The sequence below is a fragment of the Homo sapiens genome, chromosome 9, assembly GCF_000001405.40.
Source record: "Homo sapiens chromosome 9, GRCh38.p14 Primary Assembly".
NCBI lineage: Eukaryota > Metazoa > Chordata > Mammalia > Primates > Hominidae > Homo > Homo sapiens.
In genome coordinates this window covers 94,783,369-94,805,277 of record NC_000009.12, presented here as the reverse complement: position 1 = coordinate 94,805,277, position 21,909 = coordinate 94,783,369, and the positions used below count along the sequence as shown (strand labels likewise).

General features: G+C 42.4%; 1 protein-coding gene and 1 long non-coding RNA gene across 53 annotated transcripts in view; both read right to left on the bottom strand.

Moving 5' to 3' along the window:
* The window catches only part of AOPEP (aminopeptidase O (putative)), a 423,526-nt gene that overhangs the window by 344,947 nt on the left and 56,670 nt on the right, over positions 1-21,909 (bottom strand). For 50 of the 52 annotated variants that reach the window (NR_169862.1, NR_169863.2, NR_169864.1 and 47 more), the window contains 2 exons: positions 12,360-12,513; positions 4,276-4,521 (listed from right to left, as the gene is read on the bottom strand). Coding sequence is in view for 40 of the 52 variants with exons in the window: in XM_011519121.4 (XP_011517423.1) it covers positions 4,276-4,521; positions 12,360-12,513 (400 nt within the window). In the remaining 12 variants the exon portion in view is untranslated. Of the gene's footprint in view, positions 1-4,275; positions 4,522-4,970; positions 5,109-12,359; positions 12,514-21,909 lie in introns of those variants that run through there. The other 2 variants (XM_011519132.2, NM_001386062.2) reach the window with 2 other exon arrangements.
* LOC124902220 (uncharacterized) lies at positions 4,522-4,964 on the bottom strand. Its single transcript, XR_007061676.1, has 2 exons — positions 4,834-4,964; positions 4,522-4,743 (listed from the first exon to the last, which is right to left on the bottom strand). It is a non-coding gene; the product is annotated as an uncharacterized LOC124902220 (long non-coding RNA).

Genomic DNA, 21,909 nt, shown 5'->3' with positions numbered 1-21,909 from the left:
GCCATGGAGAATTCTGCTCAAGAACAGCAGCTGCTAAGCCAATCAGGTTCTCATTAGCCAGTCGGGAGATGGTATAGGTATCTACGGTCCCAAGAAAAAAAAAAAAAAATTTGATCTCTTCCCATAACCCGTCTGCCTAGAATGATGGACCTGACTTAATCTTGCCATTTCTTAGTGACTCACTTGCTCCTGGCACCCAAGCTCACTAAGAACGGGGCTAAGGAAAGCCATTTTAAGACCTCACTGACCTGCCACCATCCTGGCCTTCATTCTACTCCTCCAACCCATGAGAGTGGTTCCCACCTTGAGGCCTGTGGACCGGAGTGCTTTTCCACCAGATGGTCACAAAGCTGATTCCTTTTTATTCTTCAGTCTTAGCCCAAATGTCACCCTTTAAGGAAGCTTTTCCCTCTCACCCTAACGATGCTATTGATTCTCCCACTGTGACACTTACTTGATTTTATTTTCTTCATAGCATACATCTTAATTACTTGTTTCACGTACACTAATTTTCTCCCCTGACTAGAATGTCCATTTCATAAGGACAGAGGCCTCCTCTATCTCGTTCACCCTTGTAGGCTTTGCATCGTAAGTACTATCTGGCACACAGTATACGCTTGATAAATATTTATTGCAAGAATAAATAAACAATAACCAAATTATCAAGATTATCTGGTATAGAACAGGTGGGGAAAAGCTCAAACAATCTGTCACCTGTCATCGGCCACACTATAGTCATTTTTTTCCCCTCAATTTTCCCAGTGGGATGAAGGGTGAAGATGCATGTGAACAGCTGAGCCATGAAGCAGAACTACACAGCACATGGTTTTTTAACTTCAGTGCTCTTCACAGAAAACCACTCTGAAATAAGTTGCAAGAGATTCTTGAAATTCAAATACAAGGAAAAAAAAGAACATATATGGACGACAGCTAGGTAGTTCTGCCAACCTAACTATGCCATGACATGTAATTGTGAACTGCTGAGAGACAAATGCAAAGCAAAGCATTTCCTATACACACATACAAAGGTAAGATTAAGGTGTTAATTTTTAAGCAACTGTCATATGCCTGGTTCTAGAATATGATTCCATTAACGTTACTGCTGTTATAACAGAGAGTGTAAGTGTGATGATGAGCTCCTTTCATTATTTCTCAAAATTAAGAAACTAGGCTTGCCAGTCAATCCCCAGCAGAGACTCTGAGAACATACGAGGACACAATGAAAACAGTAGAATATTAATTAAACCAACAGGAAGAGAGCTGTGTGTACTTCAGAGATGCATTTTAAATGCATGCATATCTTCATACAGACATCATAGTAGTCAAGTCAAGAAATGTATACTTTACGGTTCCTGATATGGCAGATTCAGTCTTCATGGAAGGCAAAAACACAATGAAACAAAAACTGAAAGCCCACACACACCCACTGAGGAAAGCATCTGAAAGGCAAACTAGTGATTTTTCTCAGCAAAGAATTAAAGTCCCTCTCCCCTGGAACAGTGATTTGGAAAAGGACCAGGGTAGGGGAGGGGGTCAGTTAGTAATGGCTCCTGTTATATTAAAAGGTGACAAAAATCATGAAGAGCAGTATTGATAAATGTTCTAGTTACTGCCATGTTTGAAAAGCATTCGAAATTCTAAAATATTATTTGTGTATTATTTACCTTCTTATAAACTGATTTGTCATTATCATACATTCAAGTTTTATAAATGTGTTTTTCCTCACTTCACTGAAATATCAGAATCCAGCTCAAAAACAGAATCAAAGAGGAGACTTTTAAGCTTATTCAATAAAAACTATGATACGTAATATTCAAAATAGTGAAATCATTATATTATCTAAAATTCTCAGAAACTGCTTAACATGATTAATAATTTACCCATTTTAGTTCATGAGGGAATGTTTAATATCATTTGCCAAAAAAGAATACTGAAATGGTATAAAATGGTATTCATTATAATTAAGACCTAATCACTAAAGAAGTCCAGAGGTATGGAATTTACGATCTTGCATACATGTTTATAAAATATGGACTCGGGAAAGAGCCATTTAATTTACCAAGAAGTCCTTTGATCTCTCAGCATATTATAACTAAGAAGACAATGGCAGGTTTCAGTATGGAGGTCTTTTTGGATGACTCCTCCTAGCCTTGAGGTTTCTCTATTCCTGTTTAGGGTATGAAGTTGACTTACAAAACCATCGTTTTTGTTCTAGCTTTGCTTTATAAAACCTCAAGCAAAGTCTCGACCATAAATAAAGCAGCAGGGCCCCAGTAGCCAGCTGAGTCATAAACCCCACTCAGCTGCATGTAGCCCAAGGTGTTGGGATCCCGACAGAGTCAAGCCAAGCAAGCAGAATCAATTGAAGCCAGAGTTTGGAAAAACAGAGCACCTCCCTTCCCCACCCCACCTGGCAGTGGAAGAGACCACAATCCCCCTTCCACAGCTCTCATCCAGGGAATGGTAATAAGTCCAGAAAAACATCTAGACCTGGGCAGACTTTACTTCCACAGTCTAAAAGGAAGGGAAAAAAATGGTATTTGACAACCAACCACAAATTTTGAATATACGGTTCTCCTGCTTTTAAGCATAAAAGCAGTCTTGTTGTTGCTAAGTTATGATCACCACCATATTTTTCAAAATTTGTGCCCAGGACCATTTGGTCTTATGGTACTCAGGCTTGCCACTCTAAAAATACAGAGTTAAGCATGTTTAAATCACTTCAAATATCGCAAAAAGCAGCAAACACACAGCCTACCTGCTTGGGCATGCAAACTTGAAAAGAGAAGCTTTAGAGAATTGCCTGCAGGTCAACTCATTCTGTATTTGGCAGACTGATGTCAGGAAGGAGCTATAGAAAACAGAATCCTGTGCATGAAAAATACTCTGCCTTTGGTTCCCTCAGGCCAGAACTTGGAACTGCTAGCAAACATGCCTTAAAAAACTGCAATTCTCATGAAGTGCTAAAAACTCCCAAGTAAATAGGGCCCCTCAAACCCATGTACAAATAAGAAACATTTAATGAACAACTCTTTTTTCACCAACACCTCTACTACTTAAATTAAGGCCAGCAGACTCTTCAAAGGGACAAAAGAAGCCCCCCCCTCCATTAAGAAAAATTCTATATATAGACATCCAAGACAATTATATGATGCACGTAACCAAATATATATAATTATCCTAGTTCCTGCATTCCCATTATCTTCATAAACATAGGATAAAAATCAGTCTAAATGACTTTCTCAGACCTCCTCAAGGATTAAGGCAAGCCAGCCAGTCTTTAAAGTACATACATGTAGTAAAGATCAAAAGCAAATGTTCTGGTCAGTTCTTTTCTGCTCATGGTTTTACTAAGAATGTGTGCAGTTTTCAGGGAAAACACCACAAATGACAGCTGCTCAAAAGCATGGGAATTAATTGGCAGCAGGAATTTCCTTGACTAATAGGGAAAAACTTGAAGTCACATGTTTTGATGAGCTTATTTTTCCCATCCTTAGTCAAGCATATTCACTGCTAATGATTAAGATTTTAAAATGGAAATATAACCAAGTACATTCTCTATCTTTTCTCAGTGGAACACAGATACCCATTAATGACTGAACAATGGCATTAATTAATAGATTTTAGCTTAAATAAATACAGGGAACCAAACCAGGACACAACAGCAAAAGTGCATTTGTTAAAAAATAGTAGCACGTGACTCCTCCTCCAACCCCCACAGTAAGCCATCTGCTTTGAGCTGTTTTTCTAGCAGTAGGGATAGATTTACACTGATCCATCCACAGTCTATCTGACTCAGGGTCTCTCAAGTCATTGCCCTTGTGACCAGTGGTGAGAATGGACAAGACAGCTGGTCAGGATTAGGTGAGTAGCCTGTGGCCTTGGGACCAAGTCATGTTACTGTGCCCAGAGCCTGATGCTATAACCTTTGGCTCATTAGCATTATGCTGTCATCATCCAAGCTAACAGCCACTGATCAGCCATGATCCAACAGTCACCACTCAGGGGGCACTATGTATTCTCAATCCCAGCAACAATGTGAGCCTTTTCTTTTCAACACAGTCTGAACTGAGCCCATGACACTCAAAGGCTCGTGCATGAGGGAGTCTGCATTAAAATTGTCCCTCAAGGCAGCAATGAGATGTCCAAGCATGAGCAACCATAGCCCCTCCATTCTAATCAAATGACTGCTCTGACAGAGCTCAAGGAAAGCAAGACATAGTCAAAGAATTTCCAAAATGTATGTACCCCAAGTGCCACAATGGAACAACATACCTGGCCATCCCCAGACTTGGAAAGTTGGCAGGGACGATGAGAACATCCAGCCGAGAGAACGGGTGTGCTCCCAGAACAGAATGTGCTGCTGAGAGGCAAGGAGGGATCAGCCGCAGAAGGGTCTCTTGGCAGGCACCCGTGAGGCACACAGGGGCAAAGACCCGATGAGGAATGATCTCCTGGGTGGTGGCAGAAGCATTCTGGAAGCGGCAGGGGTATTCCATGTGACTGCAAACACCAACATGCCTGGGAATAACACAAAATAAATGGTAAAACATGTTTATTATTCTTGCTGTGGAGGTGAGGCAATCTTGCAGATGTAGACAACTTTTAGGAGACAGAGGTTCAGACAGACTCACAAGCAAAGACTGCTCATTTCAATTCTTGGCTTGACTGGCTCTGTGCAGCAGTGAAAATTTACAGGACAAAAACGTATTCATGTGTTTGAATCAATAGACTAGCTTCAATCTAAGATAAGAGAAAGCAGTAAAATCTTGTTTTAGAATAAACTTTGTTGTGGGGGGACCTCTAAAGACTCCAAACAATAAAACTTCTCACCAAAATACAAACAATTCCTGCCCTCGGTTAGATGTTTTCAAGTATCACCATATGAACAATCTCCAAATTAGAGACAATTCATAACTCAGAAAGGAAGGAGCAGTACACACAAATTAAAGATCCAATTCTGGGATTACCTAGAATAAAAGACTTGGACTGAGGGAGAACCATGAACCAAATGAAAGTTACAGGCTCAAACTCCTCGAAAGAACACAAACCATTTTACTGAATAGTAATCTAAATGTTCTTTACACAGCCCATCAAAAGCTGTTATTAAGGAATACAGAGGCACTTTTGATACAGTATTTTTCCCAACCCACTTTCAGAACAAATTTAACTGAGCCAGCCTTTTAAGGAAACAGATCAGACCCCAGCCTGCTTCATCCGACCACTGCCAGTTATTCCATCAAAGGCGGAACTGAAAGAGAATTCCTAGAACCTGACTCACAGGACTCAAGAGAACTTATCTACTCAAACCTACATCCAACAGTACTCCATTTTTTCACCTGCTAACATGTCTTTTATTCAAACACAATGAAAAACCCCTCTAATCATTATTTATTTCATTATTTTTTTTTTTTTTGAGATGGAATCTAGCTCTGTCTTCCAAGCTAGAGGGCAGTGGCATGATTTAAGCTCACTGCAACTTCCACCTCCCAGGTTCAAGTGATTCTCTTGACTCAGCCTCCTGAGTAGCTGGGATTACACGTGTGTGCCACCACGCCTGGCTAATTTTGTATTTTTAGTAGAGACGGGGTTTTACCATGTTGGCCAGGCTGGTCTCAAACTCCTGACCTCAAGTGATCCACCCGCCTCAGCCTCCAAAACAGCTAGGAGTACAGGCTTGAACCACCGCAACCGGCCTATTATTATTTAAGACAGGATTTCACTCTGTTGCCCAGGCTGGACTGCAGTGGCAGGGTCATAGCTCACTGTAGCCTCCAAGTCCTGGGCTCAAGCAATCCTCCTACCTCAGCCTCCTGAGTAGCTAGGACTACAGGCATGTTGCCATGCCACATCCAGCCTTTTTTTTTTTTTTTTAAGAGATGGGGTCTGGAGATGGGGTCTCACTTTGTAACCCAGAGTGGTCTCAAACTTCTGGCTTCAAATGATCCTCCTGCCTCAGCCTCCCAAAGGGCTGGAATCATAGGCATGAGCCACTGCACCCAGCCAATTATAACTACAGGTGCTCACTTGATTCACAGTGAATAATGAAAAATCTTAAGATGCTGGCATGTCCCAATATGGGCAGAATGCAACAATAATTCCTCTCCAAATGTAAGAAGTACCTTTCACTTACCCAAGGCCAGCGCTCAGGAGACCAATATGGCTAGGTACAGATAAGCCTCACCTTCTAGCAGCATGGTTCATAGAACACAGCTTCCAGCACTGAAGGCATTTCACCACAACGGAGAGTAAGAAAATGGATGGAGGCCCATAAAAACTTGTCAGAATAAGATGACATGAAGAATATAATTCTTGACATTTAATTCTGGCCAAAGTCCCTGGATTGATAACCTTGCTTTGTGGAGAGAGTGAGTCAAGGTGCCTGTTGGTGAACATTTAACTAAAAAGGCTGCAATGCCCACCTAATGACAAGTACTGTGCTTGTGCATGAATGTGGTCAAAGGTCTCGCAAAGTGAAAAAGGCCACTGATTAAATTAACCACCACAGTATCTTTTTCTCATGTATTTACACAGGTATATAATGTGCTACAGTAATTTCAGTTCATATAATCTCTATTGCAAAGCTTTCAGATCGTGTTAAACCACAGAGAAACTGGAGTGTGCAGGCATCTTCTGGACAAAGCTGAGGCATAAGCTTAAATTATATCTACCACAGCACAATTTTGCAAAAAGGTCATTCTAATGGTCTCTCTAAATATAACATGGGAAAAGATTATTTCCTGCTGCCAAGAACCCTAAAGTTAGAGAATACTGAGGTAGCCAAAGATACACCCAAAAGTGTTTGGCCGGATGAATTTCTGGTGATCGTATACAACCTAAACCTGATAGACAACATTCTGACTCCACGGTAAGTTCTCTCATATCCTTTTCCAATCAGGAACAAGGCAAGTTAGAATCTCTCTGGGCATAAAAGGCACTAGCTCAGATGATGAAGATGATTCTAGTTGTGTGAATTAGTACCATTGTAATCAAAGCCTGGGAAAAAATGCAGGACTTTAAGGCAATCAAGCTCTGACCAGGTGAGAAGGGTAAGGCTCCCATAGAAATGGACACAGAAATGGCATCAGGAAAGCCACTTCTGCGTTCCCACATAGGGATCAGGAAACCTGGGCTTCACTGTCTTCTCAGACTGGCTCACTTGTGACCAAGGCAGGCAACTCAGTATCTGGGGCTTCTTTTTCCCCATCTTTAACATAGTCTCACCAAAGTGGCTGCTGGAGGAGGTAAGGAATTGGTTAGAAAAGGATATGAGAGGCCAGACATGGTGGCTCATGCCTGTAATCCCAGCACTTTGGGAGGCTAAGGTAGGTGGATCACTTGAGGTCAGGAGTTTGAGACCAGCCTAGCCAACACGGTAAAACCCATCTCTACTAAAAATACAAAAAAATTAGCCGAGTGTGGTGGTGCATGCCTGTAATCCCAGCTACTTGGGAGACTGAGGCAGGAGAATCACTTGAACCTGGGAGGCAGAGTTGCAGTGAGCTAAGATCGCACCACTGCACTCCAGCCTGGGCAACAAAGCATGACTCTGTCTCAAAAAAAAAAAAAAAAAAGGTATGAGAGAATTTACTAACTTACTGTGGAGACTGAATGTTCTCTATCAGGTTTAGGCTGTATACAATCATCATAAACTCATCAAGCTGAACACTTAAGATCTGCACGTTTTGTTGTATGTTAATTATACTTAAAATATAAACAAATGAAAATCTTTTCTAAGGTTTCTTCTGGCACTATGATTCTATGATAACTCAGCACATAAGCCATTCTTCATAGAATCGCCTTGTTTCTGAAGAGGTCAGGGGATTCTGTACTTTTTTTTTTTTTTTTGAGACGGAGTCTTGCTCTATTGCCAGGCTGAAGTGCAGTGGTGCAATCTCGGCTCACTGCAACCTCCGACTCCCTGGTTCAAGCAATTCTCCTGCCCCAGCCTCCTGTAAGCTAGGATTACAGGCACACGTCACCACACCCAACTAATTTTTGTATTTTTAGTAGAGACGGGGTTTCACCATGTTGGTCAGGATGGTCTCGATCTCCCGACCTCGTGATCCGCCCGCCTTGGCCTCCCAAATTGCTGGGATTAATGGCGTGAGCCACCGCGCCTGGCCAATTCTGTGCTTTTTACAAAGTAATAGTCTTCCATAGATTCAGCACCGACTCAAAGATGCTGTACTTCCTATCAAAGCAACTTTTCATATACTTTACAACTCTAAAGAAGACCTGTTCCCCACCAGATTCTTCTTTCAAATAATCAGTCTCAATGTGTTTTCTTCTTTGTAGTGCCCATTTTCCATGCCTTTAATCATTTTTGCTAAGTTCCTTTGGACTTTATCCAAGTTTCTGTGTCGTGTTTAAACTGTATGGCCCCCACAAAGGCCTCAAGAGGTTAAAGAAACATAACACAAAGATTCCCCTGTGGCTGAAGGTTATACTACAGCTGAATAAAATTAATAAACTTTCAACAGCTTATCTGAGAGCCTTATAATCAATGTATTTACTAAAATGCTCACCCAGAGTGGCTGGAGCATGTGTGAAAGTGGAGCTGGAAGAGGGAATGTTCTTACTATAATTTTACCCACATGAACACTGATCATAAAAGTTCAGTGACCAACACTTTGGCCAAATTTCTGGAACCCAGATGAGCACTTTAGGCAAATGAAAACCTGTGGTATAGCAGGCCCCTGTGAAAGTTGGATTTACATGAATTTGATTGGTGGTCTTAGGAAGGTTTGAAGTAGAACGGGTGCTGGGGAAGGCAAAAGGGACCAGATGTGAACATAACCAAAAACACCACTGTGACTGGCACTTCAGAGCACCTTTGCTGGCAAACTTTGCATGCAGTCAGACATGTAATGGATGAAAACAAAGCCACTTTCTGACAGCTAAAGACAGCACACATGAAGTGCACAGCCAGGGCAGAACTAAGCAAATGCAAGCTATGATTTTATCAGCAGCATATTCCTGAAGGACAAGCATATTGATAAAGGAAGGGAAAACTCAGTCACAGTTTATTGGACATGGAAGGGGGCATGGGAGGAACCCCATTCACCAGTCCTCACAGTTCCATGGAAAGACGCGCTTCCCTAGAGTGGCACCCGGACCTCTCCCCAGCTTACCTGACTGGCTGGGCCATTCCAGGCTTTCTCTTTTGAATCTGCTTGCACACAGAGGGTGCACTTTGGGCCTGCCCCTGCCATGTGTCAGGTGGACTCTACATCTGTGTTATAGAGGACAGCAGCAGTCCAGCTGGGCTGGTAACTGGGTGGGTAAATTTGTCTCATTTGGAAATGGAGTCTCAGAAACCCCACTGAGACCATGCACCTGAGTATTCCTTCAGTCCAGCTTCTGTCAATAATAAAACCTTTATTTTTATCTCCTCTGTCTGTTCCTCAACTGGTGAATTTAGGAGGACAAGAGAGGAGTTGTACTTGCTTCTTCCCCTAAAGCCCGACAGGAATTTTAGACATCATCTCTTCCCAGAATCTTCATTTGATTTAACCATTTCTTCCTCCTTTCAGAATAGTGGATGCAAGAAAACTGAGAAGCCATTTAAGTTGCTTCTGAGCAGGAAGGAGAGAGCACAGAGTCAGTGGCTGCTGCCCACTCCTCAACCCCACATCTCTTTGGAATATGGCTAGAAAGGCAAAATAACAAATGTCTGTCTTTGCCTTCCCCTAGCCTTCCAAAGGCACACATTTTCCAACTGCACAGCTCCTCTAACAATCAATCAATGCTGAGGCCTTAGATGAAAAAGAGAAGAGTACTTCTTCACCATCAAGAATTTGAGAACCCATGGACAAAGCCTTCATTCTACAGATAAGGAAAGTGTGGCTTTGTCCAAAGAGGTATATCCAACCACCAAGAATGGCACTTTCAGGCTCAAAGGCATTGCTCTCAACTTCTGTTTTCTGTTCCAACACAACACACTCCAGTCAATAATGGTGGCTCAAATCATGGCAGTGACTCTCCAGATGGGAAGGTGGATCAGACTCCAGGTGAGGCATTAATGTTACATACAGTTTTTTAAAGTCTCCAGGTAAGATTCTGACTCACCTCTCTCTGGGGTCAGGCCTGGATATAAATCCAGGTATTGCTACTTAGTAGGGACATTAATGTTAACAAGTTGCTGAGCTTCAATATCCTTATCTATAAAATGGGAATAATAATCTATCCAATCTGTTTTGCAGGCTTATCCTTAGGACTAAATGAGATTATATTTAGATCAAGACTTAGTTTCTGACTTGGAACAACTAATGGCTACTGTATCAATTCAGGATAGGCTAGGATATGCTGCAGTAACAAACAACCCTGGTGTTTCAGTGGCTTAACACAAAACAGTGTGCTTCTTGCTAATACCAAGTCCACTGTAGATCTAAGTGACTCTCCAGACCACCTGTCATCCTCACTCAGAAATTCAGACCACCTGAAATTACAAAACAAAGCCTCCTCTGTTTTGTAGGCTCTGTTTTGTACTGCAGGAAAGAGAGCACAGGAGGATCTCACATGCAATTAAAGTTCCCACATGAAACTAGAATATGTCACTTCTGCCCACAATTCCCTTCTTCCCTCAAGAATACAGAAGTAAAATCTAATACGCAATCTAGGATGTTCATATAGCTCAGGAAAGACAGTCCAAAATAGGCAAGCTACTGAACAGGAAGTGGAAATTACCTCCCTTCTGCCAAAAAAGGAAAAATGCAGGCAATAATACATGCCCATCAGAAGAGAGAGAACATAGCTTCATCTCTGAAAGATGAAGACCAACTGCCACAGTTACTGTGGTACTAGTAAAAGCAGCATGACAAAATAAAACCAACACAAAAGGAATCTGCATTAGGAGTATACCTTAGCTGGTTTTCAAGGAGTAACTAATCATCTCTACCATTACCCTGGGCTTTCTCCACCAGAAGGTACTGACTTAGTGACTGTCTGTCAATAGGAAAAATGACACAATTGAGCCGGGTATAAAATCCTGGGAGTGCAGCATGATGCATGTGCTGTGCACCTTCTCAGCGTCCCCCTTCTCCCTCTTTTGGCTCTCAAAGCTAGAAACCATTGAACATCTAGACAGGCTGCCAGTAAATATCCAATGGCCTATAGTAATTTTTTAAAGCCTCAAAATGATTTTATCTGGTTCATACTTCAAAAAAGAAAGAAATCACTACTGATGTTAACAAAGCCCTGACCAAGCAGGATTCCCTTAACCCAAGGGCTTTGCATCAGTTTCCTTGTGTCCTGTGCTCCTAAAGCGGCGACTAGCCCCACTGAGGGAGATGCTGTCCCTACAGTGCACCGCTAACAGCAGTTGGTACAACCAAAACAGCAGAGTAGCATAGAAAGTAATCCATCAGAAGCTATGTTTTTGACCACATAAGCACTGAAAACCAAACTTAAAAGGTATGGGAGGAGAGGAGGCATTGAATCTGAGGATTCCTTGAATTTAGCCAAACACATATAAATATTTCAGCAGACTTCACATGATTTCATATATACTTACCTTCTTCTCTCTTTCTGCATAAATAATAGGCTCACATCTCTTCTTCTCAACTCGCTTTCCTTTCTTTTTTCCTTTTTTTTTTTTTCCAAGACAGAGTCTTGCTCTGTCGCCAGGCTGGAGTGCGGTGGCGCAATCTTGGCTCACTGCAACCTCTACCTCCCAGGTTCAAGCAATTCTCCTGCCTCAGCCTCCCAAGTAGCTGGGATTACAGGCATCCGCCACCATGCCCAGCTAATTTCTGTATTTTTAGTAGAGATGGGGTTTCACCATGTTGGCCAGGCTGGCCTCAACTCCTGACCTCGTGATCGACCCGCCTCAGCCTCCCAAAGTGCTGGGATTACAGGCCTGAGCCACCACGCCCAGCCTCTCTTTCCTTTCTTCTTTGTTTTGTTTTGTTTTGTTTTGTTTTTTGTTTTGAGACAGAGTCTTACTCTGTCACCAGGGTGGAGTGCAGTGGCGCAATCTCAGCTCACCGCAACCTCTGCCTCCCGGGTTCAAGCCATTCTCCTGCCTCAGCCTCCCGAGTCGCTGGGACGCCCGGCTAATTTTTTTGTATTTTTAGTAGAGACGGGGGTTTCACCATGTTGGTCAGGATGGTCTCAGTCTCTTGACCTCGTGATCCACCCGCCTCGGCCTCCCAAAGTGTTGGGATTACAGGCGTGAGCCACTGCGCCTAGCCCTCTCTTTCCTTTCTAATAGGGCTTTTCCTGCTTTGATTAATCCTATTTTGGTTTAGTTTCTCAGCAGGAATGACTCACATTCCCAGTGCTTGGAAGAAATGCATCATACCGCTCCCTCAAGTGTTTTTTTTTTTTTCCTTCCCAGCAAGTCCCCAAACACAAACCTGAAGTTGGCCTCAGAAGGTGAGAAGGGTCTCTCTGTTGCCAAATCATTTGATGACCATGTCTCCATCTTCATTTCTGTCCAGCATCCCACTGCAATTGTGAAGGTGGAGGCTGGCATTGGCATAGTTACATAGTAATACCAGCTTGAGCACTCTGTAAACAGGAAGAGAAAAACCATAATGAGGCCAATATATGATCCTGGGCTCTGCTGTATAATTTCTTCTCGAGGCACTTGAAGAGCTTTTGTGATAAGCTGGTAAGAGCCAACTCTTGGAGGTCGGTCACGTCAGCAGAAAGGGCACATTTCAGGGCTCAGGGAAAGCACAGGAGGGATGATGGCTTCAAGGCAACCAGGAAGGTCTGGGTCTCTTCCACGGATCAGTTTGAAGCCCTTCACGTGAGGGTGGTAGTGCAGGGGGTCCCTCACAGCTGTAAACACAGAAGGCCACAGGCTGTATGCTCCTACAGAGACAGAATACGTCTCATTCATCCAACACAGTATTTAGCATTAAAAAAAATGCTCAATTGATACCTGTTGAATGAGTGAAAGAGTGAGCAAAGCAGTGATTGCTTTGTGCTGTAACTATCTTGTCCAAATTCAATTCAAGGCAATATAAAATGAATATAGTAGAAAACACATGAGACTAGGGAAGGGAGACACTTGGGTTTTCATCCCAACTCTGAAATTAATTAGCTGTGGGAGTTCAGGTCTTACCCTTAGTCCCTGTTATCTGTTTAGCTGGTCTTCCACTCCTTGCTGAGCAGATGAAAAGCACGTGTAGAGGTTTAACGGAGCCAAGGACTCCTAACTAGTTTGTAACAGGACCAGGATTAGAGCTGGGGCTCCCCATTCCAGTTGAGGGTGTACTCTCCACTTGGTCCAAACCTTAGAGGCTTTTTATCAAAGGAATGAATGGCTGATAATTTGTAACACTATACTCCCCTCATTTCTGAGATGTAAAAATAATTTTCATGTTTCTGAAATCTGAATGTGTCATACAACCTGATTTAACAATGGTATATTTTCCGAGCATCTGCTATACATTAATCGTGTGTCTTAAGCAGAATTTATATCATCTTTTTTTTTAACTTTTATTTTAGGTTCAGGTGCAAGTTTGTATAACAAACTTGGATAAACTGCATCATGAGGCAGGGTAGGGGTAGGTTTAGTGTATAGATTATTTTGTTACCCAGGTAATAAGCATAGTACCCGATAGGTAGTTTTTCTTTTTTGAGACAGGGTCGCGCTCTGTTGCCCAGGTTGGAATGCAGTGGCGTGATCACAGTTCACTGCAGCTCAACCTCTTGTATACCCAATATCCAATGTCTCAAGTGATTCTCCCACCTCACCTTCCAAAGTAGCTGGGACTACAGGTATGTGCCACCACACACAGCTTACATTTTTTTTTTTTTTGAGAGACAGGTTCTCACTATGTTGCTCAGGCTAGTCTTGAACTCCTGGGCTCAAGCAGTCCTCCCACCTTGGCCTCCTGAAGTGCTGGAATTACAGGCTTGAGCTACTGTGCCCAGCCTGATAGGTAGTTTTTCTGTCCTCACCCTCCTCCCACCCTCCACCCTCAAGCAGGCCCTGGTGTCTGTTGTTCCCTTCTTTGTATCCATGTGTACTCAGTGTTCACCTCCCACTTATAAGTAAGAACATGCAGTATTTGGTTTTCTGATGCTGTGTTAGTTCACTTAGGATAATGACCTCCAGCCCCATCCATGTTGCTGCAAAGGACATTATCTCATTCTTTTTTATGACTGCATAGTATTCTATGGTATATATGTGCTACATTTTCTTTATTCAGTCTAACATCGATGGGCATTTAAGTTGATTCAATGTCTTTGCTATGGGATATCACTTTATATTATGGAACACATTTCTCCACTCCTCATGTTCCCATAGGGAGGAACTTCTGTTAGCGTAAATCTCTCTTTCAGTCCCTTCACAAACTCCTTTACAGGAGCTATTATTCCTTCTCTTGCTTTAAGTTTTAGAGGGTTAAACACATTTGACATCCAATCACTGACCAAATTGGCCTGTGGTTGTCCAATTTGGTCGGTGATTGGATGTCAAATTCAGAGCTGAAATATTAACATGCCCCTACTGGCCAGCAGACCTAACATGACATTTTTTAAAGTGCTTTACCACTAAAAACCAATAATAGAGATTAGATTTTGATCTCCACGTGCATGGTTCCTTTGTCTATCTCAAAACAAATTCTGAACTCAGGAAGGTAGGACTTAGTAAAAAATAAATAATATTTCGGTGAGATTCAAGTCTGGAAGCCATGAAGAGAGTTACTTGAAAGAGAGAGACAAAAGATGTGCTCAGAACTGCTGGAAACCCACCAGAGCCAGCCATTCTCTCCAACTTGCCTGGAAGCTGCACCCTGCTTCTGGAACCAGAAGGGCCACTCTTGAGATCCCTCTCTTTGTAGCTAAGAAGTTGAAGGTAGGCCGGGAGTGGTGGCTGTAATTCCAGCACTTTGGGAGGCAGAGGCAGGCGGATCACTTGAGGTCAGGAGTTCGAGACCAGCCTGGGCAATATGGTGAAACCCCATCTCTACTAAAAACACAAAAATTAGCCAGGTGTGATGGCACGTGCCTGTAATCCCAGCTACTCGGGAGGCTGAGGCAGGAGAATAGCTTGAACCTGGGAGGCAGAGGTTGCAGTGAGCCGAGATCGCACAATTGCACTCCAGCCTGGGTGAGACTCGGTCTCCAACAAAAAGAACAAGTTGGCCGGGCGCGGTGGCTCACGCTTGTAATCCCAGCACTTTGGGAGGCCGAGGCGGGCGGATCACGAGGTCAGGAGATCGAGACCATCCTGGCTAACACGGTGAAACCCCGTCTCTACTAAAAATACAAAAAAAATTAGCCGGGCGTGATGGTGGGCGCCTGTAGTCCCAGCTACTCGGGAGGCTGAAGCAGGAGAATGGCGTGAACCCGGGAGGCGGAGCTTGCAGTGAGCCGAGATTGCGCCACTGCACTCCCGCCTGGGCCACAGAGCGAGACTCCGTCTAAAAAAAAAAAAGAACAAGTTGAAGGCATACTCCTCCTTAAAGGGACAATCAAATCCAGAGACACTGAAGCCAATCCAGTGACAGCTTCTACTGGGCATGAAGCAAAACCACAGCCTCAAAGAGAATCACTGCTCTGATTCCAAGCCAGTAGAAGGAGGTAGGGACAGTCACAGACGTCTTGATGAAAGAATGACATGGATATGACATGATGGGCTATAGGGACTCCACCTCTCCCATTTTTCTGTCTTTCCGTAACTACCTACATTACCTGGAACCCAATGTCTCCCATGACTGCTCCATAAAAACTTTCATTTTCTACTGGAAACATAATGAGAGCTGAAGCAGGCAGAAAGGAGCGTGCAGATGGAAGAAGAAGCAAGAAGTTATGGGTAAGGAACTAAATCTTTTGAAAGCCTCTGGTTTAAAAAAAAAATCCTAAAAAAAACACATTTTCTTAATCAAAGGGCTGTGGTCTGTCATTCCTTCTCTGAAGTACATTTTAGAGTTTACCAAGAACCATTAGAATTTCCTTTTTAAAAATTCAGACCCTTGGCAGCTCAGTAAATAAGCAGCAATGGTGAGGCTTTCAGGTAAAAAGAGAGGTTTAACTGTATGAGGCCGAGGCCACCTTTGCTTCCTCCCCAGACTCTATTCAGGAACAGTAAAAGAACTTCTTTTCTAAAGACATGAACCAACAAGGAGAGAGAGAATAAAGCAGGAGACAATTCCTGCAGAATACTGGAAGCTAGAATGCAGATGGCAGAGTGGCAAATGACACAGCAGACCTGAATCCAGACCTGAATCCTAAGTTGGCAGTAGGGAAAGATAAGACCCACCTCATTTTACCCCTTAGAAGCTCCAAAAGGCTCTAGGGTAGAGGAAATGCTAAACTAAGCAGGCCCAGCTGCACATCTAAGAAGTGGTCAGATCCACAGATGGTCTCCCCAGCCCTGCACACCTGGGCTATTTGCCCATCCCACACATATCCCAACAAATAACTGGAAGTTTATTTTCTAGAAAGACTAAAGGGAGGGCCTCTGAACTGGCAGCTGTGGTGCTGGAGGAGAAATGGCACAGTTGAAGGCAAGTGAATGGAATTAGATGAATACATGCACATAGGATGCTGAGGCCACCAGCCATCCTCCCTTATTTGGTTCCAGAAGGCTGACAGCCAGGCTTTCACTGTCTAGGCAAGAGACTGAAAGAAGGGGATTAGCTTAAGAAATCAGTCTATGGTGAAGCTGATGGTTGACAAGCCCTCCAAATGTATTCACAGCTTCCAATTCATATTTCAGTCCCCTGCTCCTGAATGCTTGCATGCAAGCTTCCAGCCATCCCTAGAAAGCCTCTATTAGAAAATCAAGATCCAAAAGGACAAGCAAATGGGAAAAAAAAAAAACAAAGCATAAGACAATTATTAATTCCAACCAAGAAAAAAATTAACATGTACAGAAATAATAAGTCACAGTTTTGCTACAAGGCTTAGCTCTTAATAACACACAAAAATATAATGATATAAATGAAGGCCGGATGTGGTGTGATCCTAGCACTTTGGGAGGCCTAGGTAAAAGGATCACATGAGACCAATAGTTCAAGACCAGCCTGGGCAACACAGGGGGATCCCATCTCTACAAAAAAAAATTTTTTTTTATTAGCCAGGTGCATTGGTGGTGCCTGCCTGTGATCCCACGTACTTGGGAGGCTGAGGTAGGAGGATCACTTGGGCCCAGGAGGTCAGGCTGCAGTAGAGCTGTGATCACACCACTACACTCCAGCCTGGGCGACAGAGGAAGACCCTATGTCAAAAATAATAATAATATAAATGAAGAATACTGATCTAATCAACATTATGATATTAATTACATTGAGAAGACAGGATTTTAGGAAGGGGGCTTGTGTATGATGGAGTTTGGGGAGGGAGGAGGACAGCTAAATTACTTACCTGCCATAGTGGGAAGAACAACCCTGAACAATAAAGCATCTTACTGAAGGACATGCAGGTAAATATCAAGTAATCAGCCGAAAGAGGTAAAAGTGGTTACTTCTAAAAAGCAGGAAAAATGGAGGAAGAGAGATTACAAAGGACTGCTGCTTGGGAAAACGGGTATAATAAACCCATCAGAATTACTTGACTCTTTAAATATTGCATATTTAATGTAAAATAATTGAACTAATCAATTAATTAAAAGGTAATCTTAACAGAAAAAGAATAACACGTCTGGTACCAAGGTACTATTAAAATGATGAAATATAACTCAGAAGAAAGAAGCAATTTAGAGATAAGGAGCAGGCACTAGCCTATTAAGAAATCCTTTTAAGAATGAAGCACTACGCACAACAGGCTTTCTCCCTACATTTGCGTTGAATTTTTGACCTGATTTTCTTGCTGCCTGTCTGGTTCTTGTACCATCCACGTAGTCCATGGGCAAGATGATACTTGTGGAAACAGCAGAAACTGAAACTTACTTCCAAGAGAAAACACTGCTAATGGAGTAGAGGTATTTGTTAGATCCCTGCACAAGGTCAATAGAAATCCACGTAGAGCGCCCAATCCCATCACAACCCAGCACCTTCATCAGCATGTCTGCACTCTCAAGGTGACATGGGGAAGACACCGGAAGTCACAGCAGGATGTGGCAGGGGAGAGAAATGGAGATTAGCAATTAAAAAGTCAGAAACCGTAAATGACCCAGAGTTTGAGAGTGAGATAGCAATAGTGGTAACAGAACCTGAGGTGAGTCCAATAAAAATATGTTAAAACTGTCATTGTTTCCTCACAGTCTTCTCTGAAGTTCAATAATGGAAATAAAATAATTGGTTTTTAAATATCACACAAATTCATACTTTAAGTGCTCAAGATGATTTCCTCCTATACAGCGCGCAAGTTTTTTTTTATTTTCTTAGATTCCTAAAGTTCCTCTACTTAGTAGAGCTCATTTGGAATCAACTGTTTCAGACTTCAAGCTTTTAAAAGCAAAAAGGTTTCTTGGCTACCAAGTGACAGTCAAATCGGGGCAGATCAATTGGCTGGGCCAAATAAGAACCAGCCAGAAACCCAATTCCTTGTCAAACTCTTCTCAGAAGCTTCTCACTAGAGTCTGGCCCTGGGCTTCTTGCCTGGATCCTGGTTGAATGCTGGAGCCAGCGCTGAGATCATGGAGCGCTGCTAGTGCTCTGGAGAAGATTTTCATTAGTTCCCTGCTATGAGGATGTTTCTAGTATCCTCATTTGATAGAAAAGTCTCTTTTGAGTTGTCTCTTCATGGATTATTCCAATGAGCCCAATCTTACATGAAGACTGCCCACTGCCACAGGGAACAACACCTAACCTTATCTTCCAATCAGCCTACAAAAATTGCAAAGAATAAGGTGGAAATACTGCCCCAGAAAGCAGAGCATGCATTCCCAAAACAAAGATAAATAATTTCAGGATTGTCTATTGTTTGGAATAAGCCTACCTTGCAAGAGAATTAATGAGAGTTTATTGCTTTTGGATATGTCCATTCATTGAGTTCCACCTCTGGAATCTGACAGCTAGGGTTCAATTCCCTGCTCTGCATTTACCAGTTTGGGCACATCACTTAATTTCTCTAATGCATCAGTTTCCTCATGTATAACAAGAGAATTATCATAGTATCTTGCTGTGAGGATTAAGTTAGGATTAAATTAGATAATCTATAGAGTGATCACTAGGCATAATAATTGGCACAAAGTAAGTGTTCAAGAAACATTAGGTGCTGTCATCATCTGTTGTTGTTGTAGTCTTCATCTGCAAGCTCTCATCTTTACAGCTGTCTACCCTTGATGCTCACTCAGGCTAATTTTCTGAAGGCAAAGGCAAAGAATGCTGAAGGTATGGCTGCCACATGTGTACTGAAAACCGCGACCTGATGAGGCCCACATATGGAGTTCAAGGTTGAATGGCATTAAAACACAGTCCACACAAAGCGATCCATTTAAAGGAGAATGACAGCCTAAAGGGGGCATCCTGTATGACTTCATATAGAATGGGCCATTTGGAGACTATTTAAATGGTGTTTACTTTAAATGAGCCATCCTTGATGAAACAGACAGTGAATGCCTTCATTTTCCTTTTGATTCAATCCACTTGCACTAGACTCCCTTTGCTACACCAGCTGCAAAACAAAGAGAACACACTGTACTTGAATTAACCCAGAGTTTTTCCTCTGCAGAGGCCAGAAACCCCTCACACCACTGGATGATTTCACAGCCAGGTCGGGATTCATTAGCAAGACTAACAGAGAGGGTTGGTAGGAAGGGATGCAGAGGAAACAGCACTCCTTAACTTCAGGCACAAGCCGCCACCCAGCTTGCCCTTCTTTCTGGGCAGATTCTGTAAAGCTGGACTTCTGACCTCCTCAGAAAGAGACCAGAGTTCTCTAACGCCCCTACATCACTTTCTCCTATTGGACTGTATTTAGGGGGAAAAACTCTCATACTTCAGTTGTCTCACTAGTAAGATACATGTATCGTATGACGTATTGACAATAACAGCTGTTACAAGACCCAAATAGACATTTTCATCTCCACAACAGGACTGAAATTTTCCTTAGATGACTGTGCTTTTTGCAGCTATAACAGAACTTGAAATGGATCAATTTTCAAATCACAAGAGGCAGTTTAAAATTTAGTTTTTGGGCCGGGCGCAGTGGCTCACGCCTATAATCCCAGCACTTTGGGAGGCCGAGGCGGGTGGATCACCTGAGATCGGGAGTTTGAGACCAGCCTGGCCAACATAGCGGAAACCTCATCTCTACTAAAACTACAAAATTAGCCGGGCATAGTGGCACATGCCTGTAATCCCAGCTACTCAGGAGGCTGAGGCTGGAGAATCACTTGAACCCCGGGAGGCGGAGTTTGCAGTGTGCTGAGATCGTGCCATTGCACTTCAGCCTGGGCAACAAGAGCTAAACTCCGTCTCAAAATAAAATAAAATAAAATAAAATATAGTTCTGGGCCAGGCACAGTGACTCACGCCGGTAATCCCAGCACTTTGGGAGGCCAAGGCGAGAGGATCACCTGAGGTCCAGAGTTCAAGACCAGCCTGGCCAACATGGGTGAAACCCTGACTCTACTAAAAATACAAAAATTAGCCAGGCGTGGTGGTGGGCACCTGTAATCCTAGCTACTCAGGAGGCTGAAGCAGGAGAATCACTTGAACCCAAGAGGCAGAGGTTGCAGTGGGCCAAGATTGCACCACTGTACTCCAGCCTGGGCGACAGAGTGAAACTCCATCTCCAAAATAAAAATAAAAATAAATAAAATTTAATTTTGAAAATAAGTATCATAACTAAAGAGTGTTAAAACAGTTATCTTAATTATTTTTTCAATGACTTCTAAAAACTGTCCTGTGAATAGTTTTGAAGATTCTATTTTCCACAGGAGGAAGAATAATTCTCAGTGAAGAGGGAAAAAGGAAGAACATGAAGGAGTAGTCAGTTCATGAGAGGAGAGAGAACTTTTTATACTAAACCTGTGAGAAACTTAGCTGAGATAATCATTTTTCATAAAAAATTTTAAGAGAAGAAAAATCAAGATACGGTAGTCATTTTTACACATCAGTCATGCCTACCAATAGTAAATTAAATAAGAAATTTATGAAAAGTCAGTGTCCTATTAGTAGGTGAGTCTTGGATAAACTCACTTAATATAATTAAAAGCACAGCTATAACCACACACACATAACCACTCTGCTTGTGCAGAGGCTAAGTTAGATCATAGCTCTGCCAAGTTAAGCATCTCATGGAACTTCTCATATTAAAGAGTTATTGTTTTCACTGCAAATTAAAACAGGCACTTAAATTCTTCCTATGAAAACCATCCATTTTACTTTTTCAACCTCTCCACTATAGGTTAGACAAACAGCATGAAGCATTCGGAAATATCAAATTGATACGTGCTTTTATTTAACATATAATCTTTCTTTCCTCAATCCTTCAGTAGCCCCTGCTACTTTGCTACCTCAAAATTGTTTCTTTCTCTAACCACAATTCCTTATTTCAGCAATTCCTATCCAAACTATTATATATGTTATGATTACTTTGGAACATCTTTGTATCACAAATTAAAGATGCCTAACAATGTTTACAGGAATATGTATATTCAGAAACATGTACACTTATAAGTGTATACAGACATACTATAGAGAATGTATATATCATATATTTTAAATATATAATATACATACATCTGTACAATAAATATAATACATTCACGAAAAGGAGAGAGAGCTCCCCATTTTGGCTGCTCTTCCCCTCCTGGCCTCCTTCTCCACTGCTTGGGTCTTTCAGCAAACTAGCTTTCTGTCAGGACTTTGCAGATGCCGCGTCTACACCTTCCAGTTTTCTAAGTGAGTGCCACCCTCGTGAATACCCATAGCGTGACTGTCTCTTGTTAGTTCTTCTCCGCAGTTGCTCAAGGGTTGTAACTGGCACCAGAACAAACGAGACAGTAAGACGCCCTGGGCACCAGCATTGCCTAACCAGGGCAATGTGCCAGGTCAG